Below are 25,257 nucleotides of genomic sequence, written 5' to 3' on the forward strand. Positions count from 1 at the left end.
TCTGAGAGGGCTTTCTTGGTAGGGTAGGAAGATGAGGAGTTAGGAAGGGCGTGGGTACTTAATGGATAGAAAGGAGAGATGAGGAGGGTTTCTGAGGAGCAGAAAGCATACAGAAAGGAAAGAGACAGAGGACTGAAACTAACTTCCATGAATTTCATATAGCTAATTAAGGCCACAAAGCTAATTGTGTTTGGTGGTTGTGATGGTTTAAATGTTTGTGTCCCCTCCAAAATTCACGTTGAAACTTAATTGCCAATGTAACAGTATTAAGAGGTGGGGCCTTCAGGAGGTGATTAAGTCATTACGGTAGAGCTCTCATGAATGGGATTAGGTGCCCTTATAAAAGAGGTTGACAGAGGAAGTTTGTCCCTCTTGCTCCTCCACCTTCTGCCATGTAAGGACCCAGTGTTCCTCCCTTCCAGAGGATACAGTGTTCAAGGTGCAATCTTGGAAGCAGAGAGTAGCTTTCGCCAGACAGGGAAACCTGCCAATGCCTTGATCTTGGGCTTCCCAGCCTCCAGAACTGTGAGAAAATAAATTTCTGTTCTTATCAAATTACCCAGTCTCGGGTAATTTGTTATAGCAGTACAAATGAACTAAGATATTTGCCAAGGGTGTTTGCTATGTCATGCTTTTAAGAGGTGTTTTGAACTGACCGTCAAAGTCCTTCACAGTATTTATCACCAAAATTTCTCCTTATTTATAGGACGCTAAGGAGATCTTAGTGTCTGAGGGGAACTCTAGGGTTCCTAGGACCAAAATATCAGCAGAGGAAGTCTGTTTGTAACATCTGACACATTCCTAGACCCACCAGAAGTAACTCTGGGAGGACTGAAGAGTTTCTGAGATCTTGTTCCTCAGTTACCATGGAAACATGATAGCAGGTGATGCACAAGACTTGAAAGAATTACTTATCCTTAGCATTGTTGCATCTGGAAGAACTTTCAGGACCATCAAATCCGGTTTCTACCACATAGATGTGGAGTCTGAGATCCAGAGAAACAACTACACTTCACTGATGCCAAGATATACATTTTTGTTTATATTTTGACATCTCTGAAATTAATGTGTATCTTTTTTTTTTTTTTTTTTTTTTTGAGATGGCGTCTAGCTCTGTTGCCCAGGCTAGAGTGCAGTGGCATGATCTGGGCTCACTGCAACCTCTGCCTCCCAGGTTCAAGCGATTCTCCTGCCTCAGCCTCCCAAGTAGCTGGGATTACAGGCGCCCGCCATCATGCCAAGCTAATGTGTGATCCTGGGCAATCTACTTAACCTCTCTGTGTCTCAGTTTTCTCAAAGGGAAAGTGGGAATGAGTAAAGGACCTTTATAGACACTGAGGACCCAGGCAGGAAGTCTCAGTCCCTTGTTCCTGAACCAGGACAGACTGTACAAGATGATTAGTAGAGAGAATATAGGAGATTAAAAATAGAGTATTAGAGGAAGTTAAAACACGAAGTAGAGTCCTCATTTATAAGAGACTCCAGAGGGACTAAAAACAATTACTAAGTTTGAAACTAGGTCAGGGCCCTGGGAAGGAGAACTGGTTCCTGAGGGGTGTCCTGGGGGGTCAGCCAACGTGACTGGGAACAAGGAGGGTTATAAGAAGACAATGGCCTGGACTAGGCTCACGGGCCTTTCTAGGTCAAAGACTAGACTGTCTCTTCTTGCTGTCCTAAGTCAATTCTGAACCAGGTCAGAAGGTCAGTGAATAAATTAGACAGCCAGTAGGCAAAAGACGTTTTGAGAAGTCCTTACTTGGGGCCTGTGAGCCAAAGCCAGGGCATCCACCTGCCCCCCTCACTGCCCAATCACTACTCTTTATTTTATTTTATTTTATTTTACTTTATTTTTTGAGACAGACACTCTCTCTGTTGCTCAGGCTGGAGTGCAGTGGCATGATCTTGGCTCACTGCAACCTCTGCCTCCTGGATTCAAGCAGTTCTAGTGCCTCAGCCTCCTGAGTAGCTGGGATTACAGGTGTGCACCATCACATCTGGCTAATTTTTGTATTTTTTGTAAAGACAGGGTTTCACCATATTGGCCAGGCTGGTCTTGAACTCCTGGCCTCAAGTGATCCACCCACCTCAGCCTCCCAAAATGCTGGGATTACAGGTGTGAGCCACCATGCCTGGCCCCAGTCGCTGCTCTTGTTGATTCCTCGAGCTCTTTACTTTTTAAATCCTGCTCAGACATCTCCCCATCTTTTGCTGCTTTTCCTCACCCTCACTTGGCCCTCAATTTTGATACTATCTCATGCTAACTCACATAGAATCTGGGAATAGGCCCAGAGGGCAAAGCCTTAGTGGGCCTTGTACCTTGAGGGAGCAAAACGCTCTCGCAGATACTGGAGGGGATGTTCTATGAATGAATAAGGAAGCCAAAAAGGGCAGGGGAGGAAGTATTAGGTTGGTGCAAAAGTAACTGTGGTTAAAAAAAAAAAAAAAAAAGGCAAAAAACGCAATTAATTTTGCACCAACCTAACAGGAAAGAAGCAGAAGGTTTGAAAGAAGAGAGAAGTAGAGTCAGAAATAAGTAGAGAAAATGAGGGCAACATATAAGCCACTCCTTATTTCTAAGGCATCCTCTCTTAACCATAAGTTATGAACATTTCCAGAGATGTACATAAAAATTATTAATACATGTATGTTTCTGTTTCTATCTGTCTATCTTATGAGCTCCGTCTTTCTCTGTCTCTCTTCCAACATCCCCTTCACCAGCACCCCTCTGTCCCTCTCTCTTAGAAAGGAATCACAGGAGCATTTGTTGGTCTGAATTCCAGCTTCCAGCTCTCAGGTCTAAGGGAGATGGGTTCCATTGTCATAGCAACAGTAACATTGGCCCCAGTGACAGTTATAGAAATGGCTAAAGGAAAGGGCAGATTCAATGAGGACCAAAGAAGATACACATACTACCAGAGAAAGAGAAGTGGAAAAAGGGTGTGAGGGAGGGATCAGGGAGTTGGCAGGGGTGGGGCTGGGTGATACTCACAAAGGAAGTCGGAGAGCCACTCGGGCTGGTTGTAGTGAACAATAGCAACACACAGCGTGTTGAGAGCTACCAAACTGAGTACAGTCCAGTAGAAGGCCTGAGTTTTGACCATGCGGCGGATGTAGAAACGCATCCTCCTCTCCTTTTTGTGAAAAAAGGTCGAGTTCTCCAGCTTGGCACTTTTAATGCTGGCTCGGGCGAAGGGAGAACCTGCCAGGGAAAAGATGGAGAATGTCAGGCTCAGGCTGTTCCTTCAGAAGAAATTAACCAATGTGCAGCCCAAGCACAGATTTTAGCCAGGGGATCCATTAGTCTCTCCAGCAAGCCTCTGGCCTGAGGGAACCATCATGACCCATGGGCTTAGTTTTGCATAGATGGAGCTTATGAGAAGACAGTGCCCCTGAAAAATAACAGAATTAGAAGTAACCAATTGATGGGAAGGCTGATAGTTCTCTGTTGCAGGAGCCAATTTTCCATGTCTCCCACTCCCAGCCACATCTGATGCCTCTGGGAGTCACACCACAGGGCAGGATAAAGCAGAGCCTCCATTCCCTGATGCAGGGGCAGGCAACAGAGCTGCATGGAGCACGCTTGGAAGGCCTCCAGAAAGAGATGTGGATGAGACTGTTTTCCATGGACATTTAACTTTAGAAGTGATCACTGAGGAATAAGCTGGGTGTGTCCTCTGCCTACATATAGTTTTGCTCTTATGCATTTATTGAGTACCTATTTTGTGCCAGGCTCTGTTCCAGGGGCTCAGGATACATTAGGCAACAGAGCCTGGACTTCCGGGGTCTGACCCTCTAAGGGGAGGAGACAGACAGTGGACGTAATAAGTAAATTAACAGTGGGATGGAAAATGAAAAGTGCTATGGGAAAAAAAAAGTTGGGATGGGTGCAGTGGCACATGCCTCTAATCCCAGTACTTTGGGAAGCTGGAATGGGAGGACTGTATGAGGCCAGGAGTTTGACACCAGCCTGGGCAACACAGCGAGACAAGTTCTTTTAAATAACAATTTTTTTTTTAAGAGAAAAAGTAAAGCATCACAGAGGGACTGGGAGCCCTTGGAGAGTCCACAGGGTAGGCTGCAACATTAAATTGCATGGTCAAGGTGAGTGTGTTGACTTGTCACTTTAGTATCTTAGGTAGAGGAAACAGCAAATTTAAGGTCCTGAAGCATGAATGTGTCTGCCCGACATTTTTGGGGAAGAGCACAAGGAAGTCAGTGTGGCTGGAGTGGAGTGGTTGAGGGGAAAAGAGGAAGGTGGTGAAGGCAGGGAGGTGACAGGCAGATCATGCATGGCCTGGTGGACCACAAGGAGGACTTTGGCTTTTACCCTGAGTGAGGGGGGAGCCGTGGAGGGTTCTGAGTAGAGGAGGGATGGAACCTGATTTGGGTGTTCACAGGCACCCTCTGGCTGCCGAGTGGGAGAGTAGACAGTGAGAGGTGAGGACGGGAGCTGGGAGACCAGGCTGGAGGTGACTGAACCCATCCAGGCAAGTGATGATGATGATGGATGGGGGCTGGAGTTGGGTGGTAGTTAAGCGGGGAGGATTTGGGATGAATCATTTAAGACAGATTCAACATTTGCTGATGGAACGGTGTGGATGTAAGAGAGAGGGATGAGCCAAGGTGAATGAATGATGTACATACAAAGGAATGGATGAATTGGTGAACCCCTTAAGGGATGGAGCTCTCATCCACTGAATGGGCACAGGTTTAGGGGAAGGTCAGAGCTCAGTTTTGGACAGATTGAATTTACCTTCTAAAATACATCTTTTTTTTTTTTTTTTGAGACAGGATCTTGCTTTGTTGCCCAGGCTGGAATGCAGTGGCTTGATCCTAGCTCACTGCAGCCTTGAACTCCTGGGTTCAAGCGATCCTCCCACCTCAGCCTCCCAAGTAGCTATGACTACAGGCACGTACCACCATGCCCGCTTAATTAAAACAATTTTGTTTTTGGTAGCAATGAGGTCTCCCTGTGTTGCCCAGGCTGGTCTTGAACTCCTGGGTTCAAGCGATCCTCCCGCCTCAGCGTCCCTAAGCATTGGGATTCCAGCATGAATTACCATGCCCAGGCTTAAGATACCTTTTCTTATAAACCCTCAGTTGCATTCATTTTTAAATGGTTCTTCATTGATTGATTCATTCATTAGTACATTCATTCATTCTTTCATCCATCCATTTGTTCATTTATTCATTCATTCTTTCATCATTCTTAAATTCATTAGCACATTCATCATTTATCCATTCCTTTGTGTGTACATCATTCATTTGCTCATCCATTCATCCATCCATTCGCTCATCCATTCATCCATCCATTCATTATTCATTTGCTCATTTGTTTCTCCATTCATTCCTCCATTTATCCATTCACCCATACATCCATCCAGCACGTTTATCAAAACCACCCCACTTGCCAGACACAGGACACAGCAAACACCTCCAAGGAGGCCACTTCCTATCAGCAAAATTCTCAACAGAGATTTTGAGTTGGCACCCTAGGGGCCATACCGACTCATACTGGGTTTGTGAAAGCTGAAATTATTGGTCCACATTTAAAAACTGGGAGATTTTCCATGAAAATATGGATTTCAGCTTCCCCTGAATGAAAATAACAGCTGACGTTTATGGAACATTTAGCAGGCACCAGGCACTGCAGGGAACATGTTTTATACGACAAGCTACTTACTCCTGCTCAGAGCCCTAGGAAGTAGGGACCAGCGTCATCCCCATTTTACAGCCAAGGAAACAGGCTGAGGGGGGTCTAGTAACCAGTGAAGATGTGTCAAGATGGTTCAGAGTGTGTGCTCTGGGCCGCCACATTGCACACCTGGGGCATATGGTCATGGGGCAGGGGCACATTCCACTCGGCTGCAGTTGGCCAGGCCCAGTGGCTGTGACCTGCTTACAGGGACGCCTCTCCTTTCTGCAAAGACCCTTCCCCTCATGTCCATCACCTTCTCAACCCCAGTGGCAGCTCCTCATGACCCTGCCCAGCATTTCTGGCCCTAGTTCCTGAAACTCTCAAAGATGTGTCCAGATCTGCAGGTCTCCAAAGGGCTTGGCCAAAAGAAATAAGACCCTTGGGACCTTGGGGGACAGGGGGGATGTTCCACAGATCGAGAGAGAGAGAGAGAGAGAGAGAGAGAGAGAGAGAGAAACCACAGCAGGTAGAAGGTCCCCAGCCCCCACTCCTGCTGGAGCCACACTGAAAACCTGGCTTAATCACCAACCAGCAGATGACCTTGGGCAAGCCACCTTGGTAAACTGGAGACAACCACACTTCCTACCTCAAAGGGCCATCCAAAGGCATAAATGAATTAATACATCTTAGCGTGATGCTAAGTGGTACCTTACGATTATTGGATATAAATCTTCTAGTACAACCTCAAGAGCTGAAATCATGACTAGGTTCACGTGCCAGCCATTGAGAAAGTCCTTCCTGATCACTCAGCCTGAAGACACATTCCCCACGACAGGCATACCCTTCACTGGTAAGGGAGAGGGAAATGAATATTAATTGAACACCTACTAAGTGCTGGACCCCATGCTAGGCACTGTCACTTCTGTTAGTTGAATTTCATACTCACTTTGTCCCACGTTCCCTTTTTCTATACATTCCTGTCTCTCGTTTTTCTCTGTGGTCTGGAATTATAATTGCAGACAATTTCTAGATTTTTAAAAATCACTTTCATGAGATGTTTTATTCAACCCAATACATCCAAAATATTACCATTTCAACATGGAATCAATATCAAGGTGGATTCAAAAGATATTTTATACTCTTTCTTTTGTACTAAGTATTCCCAGCCGGACGTGTTATTATGAAGTACATCCTAGTTCAGGGTCAGCCACATTCAAGGGATCAAGAGCCGGTGTAACTGGTACCAGTCTGAAATGTTCTTTTCCTTTTTTTTTTTTTTTCTTTTTTTTTTGAGATAGAGTCTCATTCTGTCACCCGGGCTGGAGTGCAGTGGCACGATCTTGGCTCATTGCAACCTCTGCCTCCCAAGTTCAAGTGACTCTCCTGCCTCAGCCTCCCAAGTAGCTGGAACTACAGGTGCCCACTACCACGTCCGAATAATTTTTGTATTTTTAGTAAAGATGGTGTTTTGCCATGTTGGTCAGGCTGGTCTCGAACTCCTAACCTCAAGTGATCTGCCCGCTGCAGCCTCCCAAAGTGCTGGCATTACAGGCATGAGATACTGGGCGTCCGGGCCAGTCTGCAATGTTCTATGGTGGGGGAAGGGGTATGTCACCGCCAAGGATTCATCTGGTGATTTCTGGCAATTTATATACGCTTAAAATTATATGTAAATTGTAATACAGCCATGTGTGGCTTAATGAGGGAGACGTGTTCTGAGAAATGCATTGTTAGGCAATTTTGTCCTTGTGTGAGCATCTTAAAGTGAACTTACATAAACCTAGATGTTGTAGCCTACTCCACACCCAGGCTACGTGGTTTGTAGCTCCTCGGCTACAAACCTGCCCAGCATGTTACTGTACTTAATACTGTAGGCAACTGTAACATCATAGTATTTGTGTGTCTGAACATATCTAAACATAGAAAAGGTACAGTAAAAACACAGTATAAAAGAGAAAAGGTGGTTCAGCTGCATAGGGTACTTGGCATGAATGGAGCTTGCAGGACTGGAAGTTGCTCTTGGTGAGGGAGTGAGTTGAGTGGTGAGTGAATGTGAAGGCCTAGGATATTATTGTACACTCCTGTATATATTATAAACACTGTATGCTCAGGCTACATGAAATTTACAAAAAAAAATTTACAAAAAAATAAAGTAATTAGGGCCAGGTGCGGTGGGCTCGTGCCCGTAATCCCAACACTTTGGGAGGCCGAGATGGGCAGATCGTAAGGTCAGGAGTTCGAGACCAGCCTGGCCAACATGGTGAAACCCCGTATCTACTAAAAATACAAAAATTAGCCGGGCATGGTGGCACACGCCTGTAATCCCAGCTACTCGGGAGGCTGAGGTGGGAGGACGGCATGAGCCTGTGAGGTTGGGGTTGTAGTGAGCTGTGATCGTGCCATTGCACTCCAGCCTGGGTGATGGAGTGAGACTTGTCTCAGAAAAAAAAAAAAAAAAAAGAAATCGCATACAGAAACACAGAAAGAAGACCATATGACAACAGAGGCAGAGACTGGAATTATGCATCTATGAACTGAGGAACACCAAGTATCGCTGGCAGCACCAGAAACTAAGAAAATACCATGGAACAGATTCTCCCCTAAAACCTTCTGAGGGAACGTGGTGGCTCTGCTGACACCTTGATTTCAGTTTGGACTTCTGGCCTCTAGAACTGTGAGAGAAGAAATTTCTGTTGTTTTAAGCCACTGGGTTTGTGACATTTTGTAATGGCAACTCTGGGAACTCAATACCACCCATATAGAGCCTGTGTTATTAAAATGATGTAAATGGATCCCCGTTTCCCCACATCCTTGCCAGCACTTGTTATGATTTGTCTTTTTTTTTTTTCTTGTAAGATGGAGTCTCACTCTGTCACCCAGGCTGGAGTGCAGTGGCATGACGTCTGCTCACTGCAACCTCCACCTCCTGGGTTTAAGCAATTCTCCTGCCTCAGCCTCCTGAGTAGCTGGGACTACAGGTGTGCACTACTGCACCCAGCTAATTTTTGTATTTTTAGTAGAGATGGGGTTTCACCATGTTGGTCAGCCTGCTTCTCCTCTTATAAAGACAGCAGTCATTGGATTTAGGACCCACCCTAATTAAGTTTGATCTCATCTTAACTTGATTACCACCTGCAAAGACCCTATTTTCATGTAAGGCCACATTTGCAGGTACCAGGGGTTAGAACTTCAACAAACCTCATTTGTCTTTTTGATAATAGCTACTCTAGGCTGGGCACAGTGTCTCACACCTGTAATCCCAGCACTTTGGGAGGCCAAGGAGGGCAGATCATTTGAGGTCAGGAATTCAAGACCAGCCTGACCAACATAGTGAAACTAAATACAAAAGTTAGCTGGGCATGGTGGCGTGTGCCTGTAATTTCAGTTACTCGGGAGGCTGAGGCAGGAGAATCCCTTGAACCCAGGAGGCAGAGGTTGCAGTGAGCTGAGATCACAACACTGCGCTCCAGCTTGGGTGACAGAGTGAGACTCCCTCTCAAAAACAAAACAAAAAACAAAAAACAAACAAACAAACAAAAAGATAATAGCTACTCTAACAGGTGTGAGGTGATAGCTAATGGTGGTTTTGATTTGCATTTCCCTGATGATGAGTGATGTTCAGCATTTTATTCATATACCTGTTGGCCACTTGTATGTCTTTTCTTTTGGGATATGTATGTTCAGATCCTTTGCACATTTTTATTTTTTATTTTGAGACAGGGTCTCGGTCTCCTTCTGTCGCCCAGGGTGGAGTGCAGTGATGCAATGTCAGCTCACTGCAACCTCCTCCTCCCGGGCTCAAGGGATCGTCACATCTTAGCCTCCCGAGTAGCTGTCTTTGCCCATTTTTAATTGGGTTGTTTTCTTGCTGTTGAGTTGTTTGAGTTCCTTATATATTTTGGATATTAGCTCCTTATCAGATGTATTGTTTGCAAACGTTTTCTCACATTCCTTAGGTTGTCTCTTTCCTCTGCTGAACGCTTCCTTTGCTGTGCACAAATTTTTTAGTTTGATACGATCCCATTTGTCCATTTTGGCTTCTGTTGCCTGTGCTTTTGAGGTCCTGTCCAAAAAATCATTCCCGAGACCAATGCCATGGAGCTTTCTCCTTATGTTTTCTTGGAGCATCTTTACCATTTCAGGTCTGACATTTAAGTCTTTTCAGAACATCTGCACTCCCACGTTCACTTCAGCATTATTCACAATAGCCAAAATATGGAAGCAAACTAAGTGTCCCACAATGGATGAATGGATAAAGAAAATGTGGTATGTATACAAATAGAATACTATACAGCCCTAAAAGAAAGAAATTCTGTAATGTGTGACAACAGGGACAGAACTGGAGGACATTATACTGAGTAAAATAAGCTGGCACAGAAAGACAATTACAGTATGATCTCACATGTGGGAGCTTAAAACTAAAAAAAATTGATCTCATAGAAAGAGCAGGAAGGTGGTTCCTGGAGGCTGCAGGGGAGGAGGAGGGATTGAGAAGGAGAAGATGTTGATCAAAGGGTATAAGTTGCAGTTAGACTGGAGGAGTAAGTTTTAGTGATCTATTGCATTGCATTGCATTGCATCGCATTTAGTGATGCATTAATACATTATTGTGTATTTATATTGCATTATTAATAAATAGTAATGTGTTGCATATTTCAAAATTGCTAAGAGATTTTTAATGCCTTCCCCACACACAAAAAACGGTGAGGTGGTGAGGCGATGGATGTGTTAATTAGCATGACTGAATCATTCTATGATGTATACATAGATTAAAACATCACACTGCACTCCATAAACATACACAATTACCATTTGTCAGCTGCAAATAAATTAATAAAAAATCATGCCTGTAATCCCAGAACTTTGGGAAGCCAGGGCAGGAGGATCACTTGAGGCCAGGAGTTTGAGACCAGCCTGGGCAACATAGCCAGACCCCATCTCAACAACAACATCAACAACAACAACAAATTAGCTGGGTGTGGTGGTGCCTGTAGTCCCAGCTACTTGGGAGGCTAAGCTGGGAGGATCGCCTGAGCCCAGGAGCTCCAGGCTGCAGAGAGCTATGATCATATCACTGCACTCCAGCCTGAGTGACAGAGCAAGAACCTGCCTTTAAAAACAAATAAAATCATCTAAATGGGGTCTGGTTTTCCTAAAAAAGCAGAGTTACAATGGCAGCTTCCATTCATAATGGATCAACTTTTTTTTGTTTTGTTTTCATATGCTCCACATTTTACTTATTTATCATTGTGCTTCTTCTTCGTCTTCTTCTTCCTCTTCTTCTTCCTCTTCCCCTTCCCCTTCCTCCTCCTCTTCTTCTTCCCCTTCCCCTTCCTCCTCTTCTTCTTCCCCTTCCCCTTCCCATTCCTCCTCCTCCTCCTCTTCTTCTTCTTCCTTCTTCCTTCTTCTTCTTTCCTCCTCTTCTTCTTCTTCTTCTTTTTTTTTTTTTTAATACAGGCCAGGTACAGTGTCTCACACCTGTAATCACAACACTCTGGGAGGCCAAGGTGGGAGGCTCATTTGAAGCCAGGGTTTTGAGACCAGCCTGGGCAACATAGCGAGACCGTGTCTCTATCAAGTATTAGCTGGGCACTGTGGCATGCGCCTGTAGCCTCAAATGATCCTCTCACCTTGGCCTTCCAAAACATTGGGATTATAGGCATGAGCCACCGCACCAGGCCTGTATTATTGCATTCTTTACAGAAATAAATAAAGGCTCACTCTATCACCCAGGCTGGAGTGCAGATCTTGGCTCACTGCAACCTCCATCTCCCAGGTTAAGTGATGCCTCTGCCTCCCAAGTAGTTGGGATTACAGGCGCCCGCCTCCATGCCCAGCCGATTTTTGTATATTTATTAGAGACAAAGTTTCGCCATGTTGGCCAGGCTGGTCTCAAACTCCTGGCCTCAAGCCTGTCTTGGCATCCCAAAGTGCTGGGATTACAGGTGTGAGCCACCGTGCCCAGCCATACTGTTATTTTTCTTTTTAAAGTTATTATTCATTTATTTTAAATTGACAGATACAGGCTGTATCTATTTATAGTGCATAACATGATATTTTGACCATATGTATACACTATGGAGTGGCTCAGTTGAGCTAGTTAACATATGCATTATTACATATGCTTATCACTTTTCTCACGGTGAGAATGCTTAAAACCTACTCTCTGAGCAATTTTCAAGTATATAATACATTGTTATTAATACAGTCGCCAGGCTGTACAAAATAGATCTCTTGAACGTATTCCTGCAGTCTAAATGAAATTTGATATCCTGTCAGGCGCGGTGGCTAACACCTGTAATCCCAGCACTTTCGGAGGCTGAGGTGGGCAGATCACTTGAGGTCAGGAGTTTGAGACCAGCCTGGCCAACATGGTGAAACCCCATCTCTACTAACAGTACAAAAATTGGCAGGGCGTGGTGGTGTGCACCTGTAGTCCCAGCTACTTGGAGGCTGAGGTGGGAGAATCGCTTGAACCTGGAAGGTGGAGGTTGCAGTGAGCCGAGATCGCACCACTGCACTCCCACCTGGGCGACAGAGTAAGACTCCATCTCAAAAAAAAAGAAAAAAAAGAAAAAAAAATTGATATCCTTTCAGCAACATGGCTCAACTTTTCATGTAAATGATTCAAGTTCCTTATTTCAGCAGTAAGTTCATCAATTAGGAATGAACCTGCTTTATAGTGCGTTTATCAACTGATTCAACAGCGCAGTAGAATCACCAATTATATAAGACTGCATGTGGGCCAGGTGTGGTGGCTCACGCCTGTAATCCCACTGCTTTGGGAGGTGGAGGTAGGAGGATTGTTTGAGGCCAGGAGTTTGAGACCAGCCTAGGCAACATATTGAGATCCCATCTCTAGTAAAAAATATAAAAAACTTAGCTGAGTGTAGCAGTGTACACCTATAGTCCCAGCTACTTGGGAGGCTGAGGTGGGAGGATCACTTGAGTCCAGGGGTTTGAGGCTGCAGTGAGCTATGCCTGCACCACTGCACTCCAGCCTGAACATCAGAGCAAGACACTGTCTCAAAAAAAAAAAAAAAAGGACTGTGCATACTGTGGTATAATGTGAACGTGAACGCAAATACCACATAGCTCCCACCTTACTTTGAAATATGCATTACTGTATTATTACTTTTTTTTGTTTTTTTTTTTGAGATGAAGTCTCTGTCACGCAGGCTGGAGTGCAGGGGCATGCTGTGGCTCACCGCAGCCTTGACCTCCTGGGCTCAGGTGATCCACCTCAGCCTCACGAGTAGCTGGGACTACTGGCGTGTGCCACAATGCCCAGCTAATATTTGATAGAGACAGGGTCTCACTATGTTGCCTAGGCTGGTCTGAAACTCCTGACCTCAAACGATCCTCCCACCTCAGCTTCCCAAAATGTTGGGATTACAGGCGTGAGCCACCACACCCAGCCTGTATTGTTGCATTCTTTACATAAATAAATAAAGCTAAATGTGATTCCTTGCCAGAATCCTGGAATTCCAGAGATCTCTTTTGGGGTGGTCTAGAAAACCACTGGCTAGATTGGGGGCTCCTTTCTTTGTCTTTTTGAGTAATCAGGCTGATGAGGTGGGTTTTGGTGGATTTGCCTGTAGCAAACGTGGCTATGAAAGAACAAGCCACTGGCCTGGGTTTTGGGTCTGTTTAGAAAGCTGCAATGTCACCTGCCTTGTTAACAGAGGCGGAGGCTGCAGTGAGCCGAGATGGCACCATTGCTCTCCAGCCTGGGTGCTAGAGCAAGACTCCATCTCAGAAAAAAAAAAAAAAATTAAAAAAATTAAAAATATATATACATATATATGTATATGCAGATTTTTTATTTTTTTGATGGAGTTTCACTCTTGATGCCCAGGCTGGAGGGCAATGGCGCCATCTCAGCTCACTGCAGCCTCCGCCTCCCGGGTTCAAGTGATTTTGTGCCTCAGCCTCCTGAGTAGCTGGGATTACAGGCTCACGCCACCACACCCAGCTAATTGTTGAATTTTTAGTACAGACACGGTTTCACCATGTTGGCCAGGCTGGTCTCCTACTCCTGACCTTAAGCGATCTACCCGCCTCAGCCTCCCAAAGTGCTGGGATTACAGGCGTGAGCCACCGCGCCCGGCCAGCAAAGTAGATTTTTAAGAATGTATGTTATTTTATTTTTTTAAGAGACAGGTTCTCACTCTGTTGCCCACGTTGCAGTGCAGTGGCACAATCATAGCTCACTGCAACCTTGAATTCCTGGGTTCAAGAAATCCTCCTGCCTTAGCTTCCTAAATAGATGGGACTATAGGTGTGTGCCATAATGCCTGGCTAAGTTTTTCAACATTTTGTTTTTCAGAGATGGAGCCTTGTTATGTTGCCCAGGCTGGTCTTGAACGGCTGATCTTAGGAGATCCTCCTGCACTGGCCTCCCAAAGCAGTGGGATTACAGGCGTGAACCACTGTACCTCGTCATAAAACAGATTTTAAACAATGGAGGTAACGTAACACGTGAGACAGACATAATTGATCAAATACTCAAGACACCTACTGAGCGCTCCAATTCTTGACATTTGCTTACAGGAAATTAAACAGATGCACACACGAGTGGAAGCAGAATGAGTTCTCCATTACAAAGAAAAGCGTGTTTTGGCTGGAAATTAAAAATGCAAATGAAAACAAGCTTTAAGGTTTCATTACAAACCCACTTAACTGGGAAAGGAAATTAAATTGGTAATATTCGATGGCCTGGGTGGGGAATCCATGAACATATGCATACTTGGCAGGTTTATAAATGGGTTCCATGTTTTTGAAACTCAGAATGGCTCTTTGAATAATGAGTTGAAAAGCTGTTAATATCTTTGATCCTATAATTATCCCCAAGGAAATACGCCCAAAGGGTGGGGGGAGTCATTGTACGTAAATGTGCACAGCAGTGTTCTTCGTAAGAGAAATTATTGGAAACAACTCAAACACCCTATAATAGAGCTATGGCTAAACAAACCATAGTGTATCCACCCTACGAGATATGTGATCGCAATGGAAATTATGCCTAAACTCAGCAATAAGGTTATAAACTAGGGGCGAGCGATAAAAGGGGAATACGAAATAGTGGATCAGAAACTATGGATCAGAAACACATGGATGTACTAACTTCCCTCCTTCCTTCACTTCTCTCCCTCCTTCTCTTCCTCCCTTCCTCTTTCTCTTGCCATCCTTTCTTCCTCTAAACTGCGGCCACACAGTTTCCCAAGCAGCCTAAATTCCTTCTCCCCTCAATCTTATTCCAGTCTTATTTCCTCTGCCTGGATGCTCTTCCTTCCATTAAAAACAAAAACCCATTAAAGAACAACAACAACAATAACAATACATTCTCACTTTAGAAGGTCAAAATCAACATCATCACAGCCAATGAATCAATAGGACAGAGGAGTGAGAAGGGAAAGAATAAATGTTCCCTCCTCCCTCGAACTCTGGCCCTTGTGGTGGCAAAGGTCTGAGCCCTGCCTCTCACACTGTTCCTTCTGCTATCACCACCACAGTGATCTCCTACCCATCCTTCAGTTCCCAGCTTAACCGTCACTTCCTCCAGGTAGCCTTCCCTGACTGCTCCCCATCCTTCTAGAGCAAGCTAAGCCCAGAGCCTCTCCCTGAAGTGCCATTACCATTACAGGTTTATTTGTGTAATTCTCTGTTTAATTTCTATTTCCTGCACTGGACTGTGAGCTCCATGTAGGTAGGGATTTGGTTTGTGTCTTTTTTTTTTTTTTTTTTTTGAGACAGGATCTTGCTCTGTTGCCCAGGCTGGAGGGCAGTGATGAGATCTCAGCTCACTGCAACCTCTGCTTCCCAGGTTCAAGTGATGCTCCCGCCTCAGCCTCCAGAGTAGCTGGAACTACAGGCTAATTTTTTTCGTATTTTTAGTAGAGCCAGGGTTTCACCATGTTGGCCAGGCTGGTCTCGAACTCCCGACATCAGGTGATCCGCTCATCTCAGCTTCCCAAAGTGTTGGGATTACAGGCGTGAGCCACTGTGCCTGGCTCAGTTTGTGTCTTTTTTTTTTTTTCTGTGCCCAGGCTGGAGTGCAGTAACACAATAATGGCTTATTGCAGCCTCCACTTCCCAGGCTCAAGTGATCCTCCCAGCTCAGCCTCGTGACTGCCTTGTCTTGTTTGCAACCAAGCACCTAATATAAGCAGGTCCCCCATGAATACTTCCCGAATGAGTCACAAACATTCACCAACTTGACTGGGAGCTTCGTCCCTGCCAGGTGCTGGTTTGCCATGCTTCATGGGGATCATTTAGTTGAATTCCCACAAAATAATGAGAAGCTAGGCACGGATGTTATTCCCATAATGATGTAATCTGCCCAGGACACACGCACAGGTGGGAAAGGGTGGAGCTGAGACCCAAATCCAGGCAGCACGGTTTGCAAGCCCTCTGCCCCCACCCCACCATGTCTCTTGGGCGATAGGTGATGAACAACTGATAGGTGGCAGAGGAAGGGACTCACCCACAGAGGCTATATCAGCCAGCTGATCCTCAGCCTCTTCGGGGTTGAGCAAATCTGTCTTGCTTTTCTTTATGGTGGTTCTCCGCAGAGCTCCAACAATGGAAACATGGCAAGAGAAAAAGACGTTACCCTTTTTGCAACACAGACCATATGGACACAGTGTGTCCTTGGATTTAACTCTCACGGCAACTGTTCTCACGGGAACTAATAGTATACCCATTTTTCAGATGTGTAAACTGAGGTTCAAGGTGGCACTATCACTTTGCTTAAAGGGGTAAAGACAAGAATCAAGTCGGGTTCAGTCCGACTCCAGGTCTGGGCCCTCAGCCACTATTTTCCTTCTGGTTTATTTATTTATTTGTTTATTTATTTTGAGACAGAATCTTGCTCTGTCACCCAGAGAGTGGTGTGATCTTGGCTTACTGCAACCTCTGCCTCCTGAGTTCAAGCGATTCTCCTCCCTCAGCCTCCTGAGTAGCTGAGACTACAGGCATGCACCACCACGCCTGGCTAATTTTTGTATTATTAGTAGAGATGGGGTTTTGCCATGTTGGCCAGGCTGGTCAAACTCTTGACCTCAAGTGATTTGCCTGCCTTGGCCTCCAAAAGTGCTAGGATTACAGGCGTGAGCCGCCCCACTCAGCCTCTATTTTTAAATTCTAAGAAACCTCACTTTCTTATGAAAACAGTCCACCCCTTGACCTGTAGCATACTCGCTAGGCAGGCTGCAATTTTGGGATTCTGCCCCCATATTCAAGCTATACACCCCAGGGGCTCCACAGCAGACAAGTTCAGGTGTAGACTTCCAATAAAAAGATTTAGGTACCCTAAATGAGTTAGATTACCTAACTCATTTAGGGGAGTTAGGTAATCTCCCCTCCCCAACTAAGATAATAAAATTCATTTTATAACCTTCTGGGACGCAGTGCCAGTTCTTTTATTTCCCTCAAATCTCTCAGATTTTTAATCAAAAGTCATCACCCTGTCTAACCAGCTTTCTTTCTTTTTTTTGAGACAGAGTCTTGCTCTGTCGCCTAGGCTGGAGTGCAGTGGTGTGATCTCGGCTCACCGCAACTTCCGTCTCCCAGGTTCAAGCAATTCTCGTAGTTTAGCCTCCTGAGTAGCTGGGATTACAGGCGTGTGCCATGACACCTAGCTAATTTTTGTATTTTTAGTAGAGATGGGGTTTCGCCATGATGGCCAGGCCGGTCTTGAACTCCTGGCCTCAAGTGATCCACCCGCCTTGGCCTCCCAAAGTGCTGGGATTACAGGCATGAGCCACCACGCCCAGCCCCTGTCTAACCAGTTTTCTAAAGTATGAGAAGATAAATCTCAAGCAAGAAGTTGCATTTTTCAGGGAGTACTATTATTTTTCTTATTGCTGTTATTATTATATTGCAGACATATTATTCTGGCCTATCTCTAAATTCTTTTTTTTTCTTTTGAAACAGGGTCTCACTCTGTCACCCAGGCTGGAGTGGAGTGGTGCCCACTGCAACCTCGACCTCTTGGGCTCAAGTGATCCTCCCACCTCAGCCTCCTGAGTAGCTGGGACCATAGGTGCGTGTGCCCCCACATCTGGCTAAGTTTATTTTTTGTAGAGACGGAACCTCATTATGTTGCCCAGGCTGGTCTTGAACTCCCAGGCTCAAGTGTTCCTCCTGTCTTGGCCTCCCAAAGTGTTGGGATTACAGATGTGAGCCACAGACAGACCGCATCCAACCCTATCTCTAAATTCTAGGAAACTTTACTTTCATGAAGCCTCAGGTTGGATACACAGTGACTCTTACAGTCTGTCCCCTGACTCCCAGCTATGCTGGGGAGGTTGGGCTTTTGGACACCTTTTTAATGGTCCCTCCTTTCATATTCAGGTTTCCAGGGGACCATGAATTGACATCTACACTCCCAGCATTTTGGGAGGCCAAGGTGTGCAGATCATTTGAGGCAAGGAGTTCAAGACCAGCCCGGCCAACATGGCGAAACCCCATCTCTATCAACAATATAAAAATTAGCCAGGCATGGTGGCTCATGCTTGTAATCTCAGCTTCTCATGAGGCTGAGGCAGAGAATTGCTTGAACCTGGGAGCCAGAGGTTGCAGTGAGGTGAGATCGTGTGACTGCACTCCAGCCTGGGTGACAGAGCGAGACTCTGTCTCAATTAAAAAAAAAAGAAAAGAAAGAAAGTCATGGTTCTGTCTCGTTAAGTTTCTAACATGGGAGACAGCAGCCGTTCACAGTAAACTGGATTATTGGTGGAATTATTACTTATTTAGCAAACAGAAACGTGCTGACCCCATGCCAGGCACTATCCCAGGTGTTCTATTTGCCATAACGAATATCATTCTGAGAAACAATCTCGTGAGCTAGGGTATTGTTTATATCATACCCATTTTGCAGATGAGAAAAACCAAGGCACAAAGCAGAAAAAACCAGGTCCATGGTTAAAACAAAAAAGTGGAGGCCAGAATAGGGAAACTCTGCATGGAAGTCCTAAAATTCCTCCAAGAGGAACGTCTACCCTCTGCAAGATCCTTAGAACCAGTCACCTGCTCTCCCCCGACTCCCCACCACAGCTTCTCCCTTCTCCCCTGGGACCCACCCCTGAGGTGGGTTTAGAGCAGTTACCATCAAAGGGATGCCTCTGCTCCCCGTCAGTTTCATCCTCGGCGAGGATCACCTCTTCTGAAGAGGAAGAGCACAGAGTTAAGCTCCTGCATTTGGAGGATGAGTTCTCCCTTGGACCAGGAAGAAGGGTCTGCCCGGCCACCCCCATTCTCTGCTGACTGATGGTGACAGCTCAACCGACCAAAAAACATGCTGCTGGGTGGTTTGTGACTTCAAGCCCCACCTCCGCAACAGTAGCAATAGCCAACATTCTCCCCACCTCGCGCAAAATAAAAACCAATGTCCACACCACAGCCTATAAGCCCCTGCTTGATCTGATCTCCATCACCTTCCTGTCTTCCTCTCCTCCAGCTGTCCCCACCTCTCACTCTGTTTCAGCTGCACTGGCTTCCTTGCTGTGTCTCAAATACGTTCCTAGCTCAGGGCCTTTGCACTTGCTGTCTCTGCCTGGAATGCCCCTTCCCTTGACATCCCCACAGCTTCCTTCTTCACGTCCTTCAGGTCTCTCTGCTCAGAGGGTACTTCCTTAGAGAAGCCTTCCCTGACCACCCTGCCTCTAACTTCCTACTCTTTTTTTTTTCTCTGACACAGAGTCTCACTCTGTTGCCCAGGCTGGAGTGCAGTGGTGCGACCTCAGCTCACTGTAACCTCTGCCTCCTGGGTTCAAGCAATTCTCCTGCCTCAGCCTCCCGAGTAGCTGGGATTACAGGCGTGCGCCACCATGCCTGGCTAATTTTTGTATTTTTAGTAGAGACAGGGTTTCACCATGTTGGCCAGGCTGGTCTCGAATGCCTGACCTCAGGAAATCTGCCCGCCTTAGCCTCCCAAAGTGCTGGGATTACAGGCGTGAGCCACCGCGCCCGGCCAACTTCCTACTCTGTTTTATCTTCCTAGTCTGTTTTATCTTCCTTCTCTGAATTTGGGAGTTCCCAACATGACATGTATTTGTTTGCTTTATCTCTCTCATTAGAATATCAGAGCTCTGAGGGCAGGGATTTGGTGTGTATTGTTTACTCCCATATCCTCAGTGCTTAGATCAGTGCCTGGCACACAGCAGGTGCTCCCTAAATGTTTGTTAAATGGCTGAACAAATAAATATGTGCCTACCGTGTATCAGGCACTTCTCTCCCCAAGTGACTCAGCTGAGATTATTTTACTAAATACTCCAATAGTACTATGACTTAGGCACTACCATCGCCTCCATGTAACAGCTGAGGAAACGGAGGTACAGGGATGTGTGGTGCATGGGTAAAAAGTGGCAGGGCCGGGATGTAAACCAGCGTCTGATTTCAGAATTCAAGTTACGTGATGTCAGATCCTGGCTTCATCTTAGACTTCTTCATATCAGACTCTGGATTCTTGTTGATAAAATTTGGGACTACCAATTCAGGTTCTCTTTCTCCTCCCATCATAACCCTCCCAGCTTAGCCTTCTCCAAACTGCATGACTCTCTTTGTACTCCGTGGCCTGGGATCTCCATCCCTGGGCCCCAGGATGAAAGGGCCTCACCTGCTTTTGAGATCCACTCCATGTACCCATTGAGCTCACGTTCAATCTGTTGTTGCCGCCTCAGCTTCAGAAAAGCCCGCCGGTTCTCCACCCGTTCCCTTTCTTTGGCAAACTCCCTGGAGAAGCATAGAAAAGCCAGAGTATGGCTGTTTTGAAAATGTTAGGAAACGTTTGTGTGTGTGTTTGTGTGTGTGTGTGTGTGTGTGTGTGTGTGTTTGTGTGTGTGTGTGTGTTTGGGGATTCAGAAGTCCCTGGAGGTCAGGAGTTTTCAACAGGAGGAGTCAGGACTTCTGGGAAAAGACTGGGATATTATAGTGATGGGTGCTTCTGCCAGCTTCACACATTTCCCGACAACTGTGCCTAGGTAAAGAAAAAGGCCAGGCACAGTGGCTCATGTCTGTAATCCCAGCACTTTGTGAGGCTGAGATGGGAGTATCATTTAAGGCCAGGAATTTGAGACCAGCCTGGACAACACAGTGGGCCCCATCTCTATGAAAAATAAAAAATGTAGCTGGGCATGGTGGCATACACTTGTTGCCTTAGCTACTCAGGAGGCTGAGGCAGGAGGATCGCTTGTGCCTAGGAGTTCTAGGTTACAGTGAGCTATGATCGCCCCCTACACTCCAGTCTGGGTAATAAAGCTAGACACCGTCTCAAAAAAAAACAATAAAAAAGAAAAAAACCGAAAGGATAAAACCATGCCATGCCAACCACCACTGGCTGCATACCTCATTCTCATTCTCTTCATACTTTTGGCTAATAATTATTTCAGCCCTCTTTTAAGTTAGACCAATAAGCCATGAATGAAAGATTTCTGCAGCAGGTTGGCTTCTCTGCCATAGGTCCCACCTCTTCCTGTTTCCCTTCTTCCTTTTCCTGTTTGGAACATGAAGTGGCCATCCGGAGGGCGTGAGGCAGCCATCTTAAGACCATGAGGTATCCACGAGATTGGAAGCCTCTGGTAAAGATGTCAGAATGGAAAGCTGGAAGAATCTGGGGTTGCTGATGGTGCCATAGAGCCACCATACAAGTGCCCAGACTTCTTATGGTAAGAAAAATGAAGCCCATTTATGATTAAGCCAAAAAAATCTTGGGGATAGAGGACAATATGGGTCAGGAAAATACACCGTTAGAGCATATGCTATGATTTTATATTTGGAAAATGGGGGAGAAGTAAACCCAAACTATTGGTTTTTAAAAAAAATGTAAAGAAAGTAAAGCCCATATGAACCCTCTCACTGGGTACCCCTAGCAGTACACAACCTCTGCACCTGTGCATGGCTTGCTAATAACAGTCTGGTAACCCAAACAAGGGAAGAAGCCTTTTCTCTGTCTAGTGAATGAAAACAAAGCTTCAATGGCCTCTACTTGGAAAGAAGTTAGCAAAGAGGAGTGAGTGGGATGGGGTGGGGAGTAGCAGAAACTTACCCTGACAGCACACCCAGCACAAGGTTCAGCATAAAAAAGGAGCCGATGATGATGAGGGGGATGAAGTACAACCAGTTCCAAGTGTTCCCTGAGGCATCGTTGCTCTGTAGGGTGTGAGGAGGGAAAGCAGGTGAGAGTTGACTGGGACTCAGATAGAACCTGACAGGTGAGGGAAGGGGAAGCTCGGTTCTCTTGTGGCTCTGTCTTAAATGTTCTTGGCTTGTGGAGTTCTGGGGCTCTGGCATCCCAGAGGGGGAAATGGAGGAACGTTTTCTGAAGAAAACATCCAAAGGGTAAAGCTCTCTCTTAATTATGTTCTCCTCACATAACATAATTGACCTGGGAATGGAGTAAGAAACACAAGAGGACTTCCCAGACCACAGTCCAGAAGGAGAAGGAAAAAGTAAACCAAACAAAACACAAAACCTATTGAAATGGATTAATTAATCCCTGGTTCCTTCTCTTCTCCCAACACAGTCATAGACTCCCCTTAGAGGAGATGCATGACCACAGAGTCTGATGGCCTGGTGAAATCACCAAGCCAGACAGATGGTCCATGAGCCCTTTCCTCAAGTGTCTCCCTGCTCCATTCCCTGCAGCCTTAATGCCAATCACAAAAAATTCTCAGAAGTTTCAGCTCAATTTTCAAGAGGAAAAAAGTCCACAAATAGAATACTCTCTGAAACAGAAAATAGAACACTATAGCAAGAAGGAAGTAAGATGAGGGGAAGAAAATCAAGGAGAGGAGGTTGGGGGGTGGAGAGAGAAAGAGAGACAGAGAGAGAGAGGGAGAGAGAGAGAGAGAGAGAGAGAGAGAGAGAGAGAGAGAGAGAGAAAAGAATGATAAAAGCCAGCACTTACAGAGTATTTATGGTGTGCTGGCACCTTCCTAAGCACATTATGTATGTTAGCTCACTTAGTCATTTAATCCTCATGATGCCTCTATGTTATAATGCCCATGTTACTATTGAGGAAACTGAGGCTTAGAAAGACAAAATCATCAGCCCAAGATCACAGAGTTATTCACTAGTGGACATGGGATTTGCACTAACCACCTGGCCCCAGAGTCCATGGGCTTAACCTCTGTGCTGGGAAGCCTTGCCTCCAGCTGTCAGGGCAGGGGTAGCCTTTGAATAGTTGATCACCCTGTGACACCTGCAGAATGCAGGGCTCTCAAGTGTGGCTTTAAAAGCCCACCTTTAAAAGCATGTATGACACTGCTGCTGCCTGGAAGAAAGGCTAAAATGAGAAAGAAGTTAAGATGAGGTCATTACTACCAGGTGTCTGTGAAGCTGTGGAGCAACTGGAACCCTCATAATCTGCCAATGGGAGGGCACCATGCTGTATTCATCTCCTGTGGCTGCTGTAACAAGGAACCACAACCTAGGTGGCTTAAACAACAAAGATTTATTGTCTTACAGTTATAGAGGCCAAAAATCCAAGCTCAAGGTGTCAGAAGGGCTGGTTCCTTCTGAGAGCTGTGAGACAGAATCTGTTTTATGCCTCTCTCCTAGCTTCTGGCGGTTTGCTGGCAATCTTTGCTGATTCTTGGCTTGTAGAGGCATCATCCTGAGCTCTGCCTTTGTTTAAACATGGCATTCTTCCTGTGAGTGTGCCTGTCTCTGTGCCAAAATCTCCCCTTTTTATATGGACACCATCGTATTAGATTAGGACCCACCCTAATGATCTCATCTTAACTGCTATGGTTGGTGCAAAAATAACGGCAGTTTTGCCAATGGCAAAACCTTTACATGTGCAATGAATCTATTTCCAAATAAGGTCACATTCTGAGGTACTGGGGGTTAGGACTTCAACATATGAATTTTGGGGTGAGACAATAAAACCCATAACACATGGTACAACTACTTGAAAAATTGGTTGAGAGTTTCTATGCTAAAATTAAGTCATGCTTAACAATGGGCATACATTCTGAAAAATGTGTCACTAGGTCATTTTGTTGTGCAAACATCATGGAGTGTACTTACACAAACCTAGATGGTATAGCCTACTACACACCTAGGCTGCATGGTCTCGCCTATTGCTCCTAGGCTACAAACCCATACAGCATGTTATTCTATGGAATACTGTAGGCAATTGTAACTCTATAGTGTATCTAAAAATATCTAAAAACAGGCCGGGTGCGGTGGCTCACGCCTGCAATCCCAGCACTTTGGGAGGCCGAGGCGGGCAGATCATGAGGTCAGGAGATCGAGGCCATCCTGGCTAACATGGTGAAACCCCGTCTCTACTAAAAATACAAAAAAAATTAGCCGGGCCTGGTGACGGGCGCCTGTAGCTACCTGGGAGGCTGAGGCAGGAGAATGGCGTGAACCCAGAAGGCGGAGCTTGCAGTGAGCGGAGATCACACCACTGCACTCCAGCCTGGGCAACAGAGCGAGACTTCGTCTCAAAAAAAAAAGAATCTAAAAACAGAAAAGCTATAGTAAAAATACTGTATGATAATCACTGTTATGTATTCGGTCCATTATGGGACCACTGTTACATATTTGATCTGTTGTTGACCAAAATGCCATTGTGCAGTGTATAACTGTATGTACCTTTGCCAACACCCAGTAATTCTTGGATAGTTACTGATCCAAGATCACTACAATTAGATAGTAATTCCGAAATAGTAATTCTGAATAATTACACAACAGAAAGCACACACAAGAACATTCATAGCAATGGTATTCATCATAGCTCCAAATTGCAAACAATCCACACTGTTATCAATAGGAGAGAGAGGATACATGCAATGAACAATGCCACAGGTCACATGAGATCTTAAAAAGTTAACGTCAAGCAAAAGAAGCCAGACTTCATTTATGCAAAATACAAAACAGGCTAAACTGGTGAATGATGCTCAAAGTCCTGGTAGGGGTACCCTTGCGGGGAGGTAGTGACTAGGAACAGGATATGAGGGGGGCTTCTGGGGCTGAGAAGTTTCTGTTTCCTCATTTGTGTGCTGGTTACATGGATGTGTTTAGTTTGTGACAATTAATCAAGCTCTTCACTTATAATCCGCGGATTTTTCTGTATGTTTATTCTACTTCAATTCTTAAAAAGTTGTTTTTTTTTGAGACGGAGTCTTACTCTGTTGCCGAGGCTGGAGTGCAGTGGCATGATCTCAGCTCACTGCAACCTCTGCCTCCCGGGTTCAAGCAATTCTCTTGCCTCAGCCTCCTGAGTAGTTGGGATTACAGGCGCCCGCCACCATGCCTGGCTAATTTTTGTATTTTTAGTAGAGATGGGGTTTCACCATGTTGGTCAGGCTGGTCTTGAACTCCTCACCTCCTGATCTGCCTGCCTTGGCCTCCCAAAGTGCTGTAATTACAGGCGTGAGCCACTGAGCCCGGCAGAAGTTTTTTTTTAATAGTCAACTTTACCTTAAAAAGAAAGAAAATGCTGATACGTGCTGCAACATGGGTGAACCTTGAGGGCATTATGCTATGTGAAATAAACCAGTCATAAAAGGGAAAATCCTGTATGATTCCATTTATAGGAGGTCCCTAGAGTCGTCAGATTTATAAAAACAGAAAGTAGCATGGTGGGTGCCAAGGGCTGGGGGAGGGGG

At 45.4% G+C, this 25,257-nt stretch overlaps 1 protein-coding gene across 5 annotated transcripts in view, besides 1 other annotated feature; it reads right to left on the reverse strand.

The window, feature by feature from the left end:
• CACNA1A (calcium voltage-gated channel subunit alpha1 A) overlaps positions 1-25,257 on the reverse strand; it is a 300,038-nt gene that overhangs the window by 107,681 nt on the left and 167,100 nt on the right. For 4 of the 5 annotated variants that reach the window (NM_001127221.2, NM_001174080.2, NM_000068.4 and 1 more), the window contains exons 7-11: positions 21,684-21,787; positions 20,256-20,371; positions 18,747-18,803; positions 16,122-16,214; positions 2,990-3,199 (exon numbers count right to left, since the gene is read on the reverse strand). In NM_001127221.2, the coding sequence (NP_001120693.1) occupies positions 2,990-3,199; positions 16,122-16,214; positions 18,747-18,803; positions 20,256-20,371; positions 21,684-21,787 (580 nt within the window). The remainder of the gene's footprint in view (positions 1-2,989; positions 3,200-16,121; positions 16,215-18,746; positions 18,804-20,255; positions 20,372-21,683; positions 21,788-25,257) is intronic. The other variant, NM_001127222.2, reaches the window with a different exon arrangement.
• Positions 20,783-21,982: an enhancer, noted in NCBI's record as "MED14-independent group 3 enhancer chr19:13445719-13446918 (GRCh37/hg19 assembly coordinates)". NCBI's record gives its function as "activates an origin of replication core promoter dependent on BRD2, BRD4, P300/CBP and CDK7 cofactors, and independent of MED14, by STARR-seq in HCT116 cells {active_cell/tissue: HCT116}" and the evidence as "EXISTENCE:reporter gene assay evidence [ECO:0000049][PMID:35650434]".

The sequence above is a fragment of the Homo sapiens genome, chromosome 19 (assembly GCF_000001405.40).
Source record: "Homo sapiens chromosome 19, GRCh38.p14 Primary Assembly".
Taxonomy (NCBI): Eukaryota; Metazoa; Chordata; class Mammalia; order Primates; family Hominidae; genus Homo; species Homo sapiens.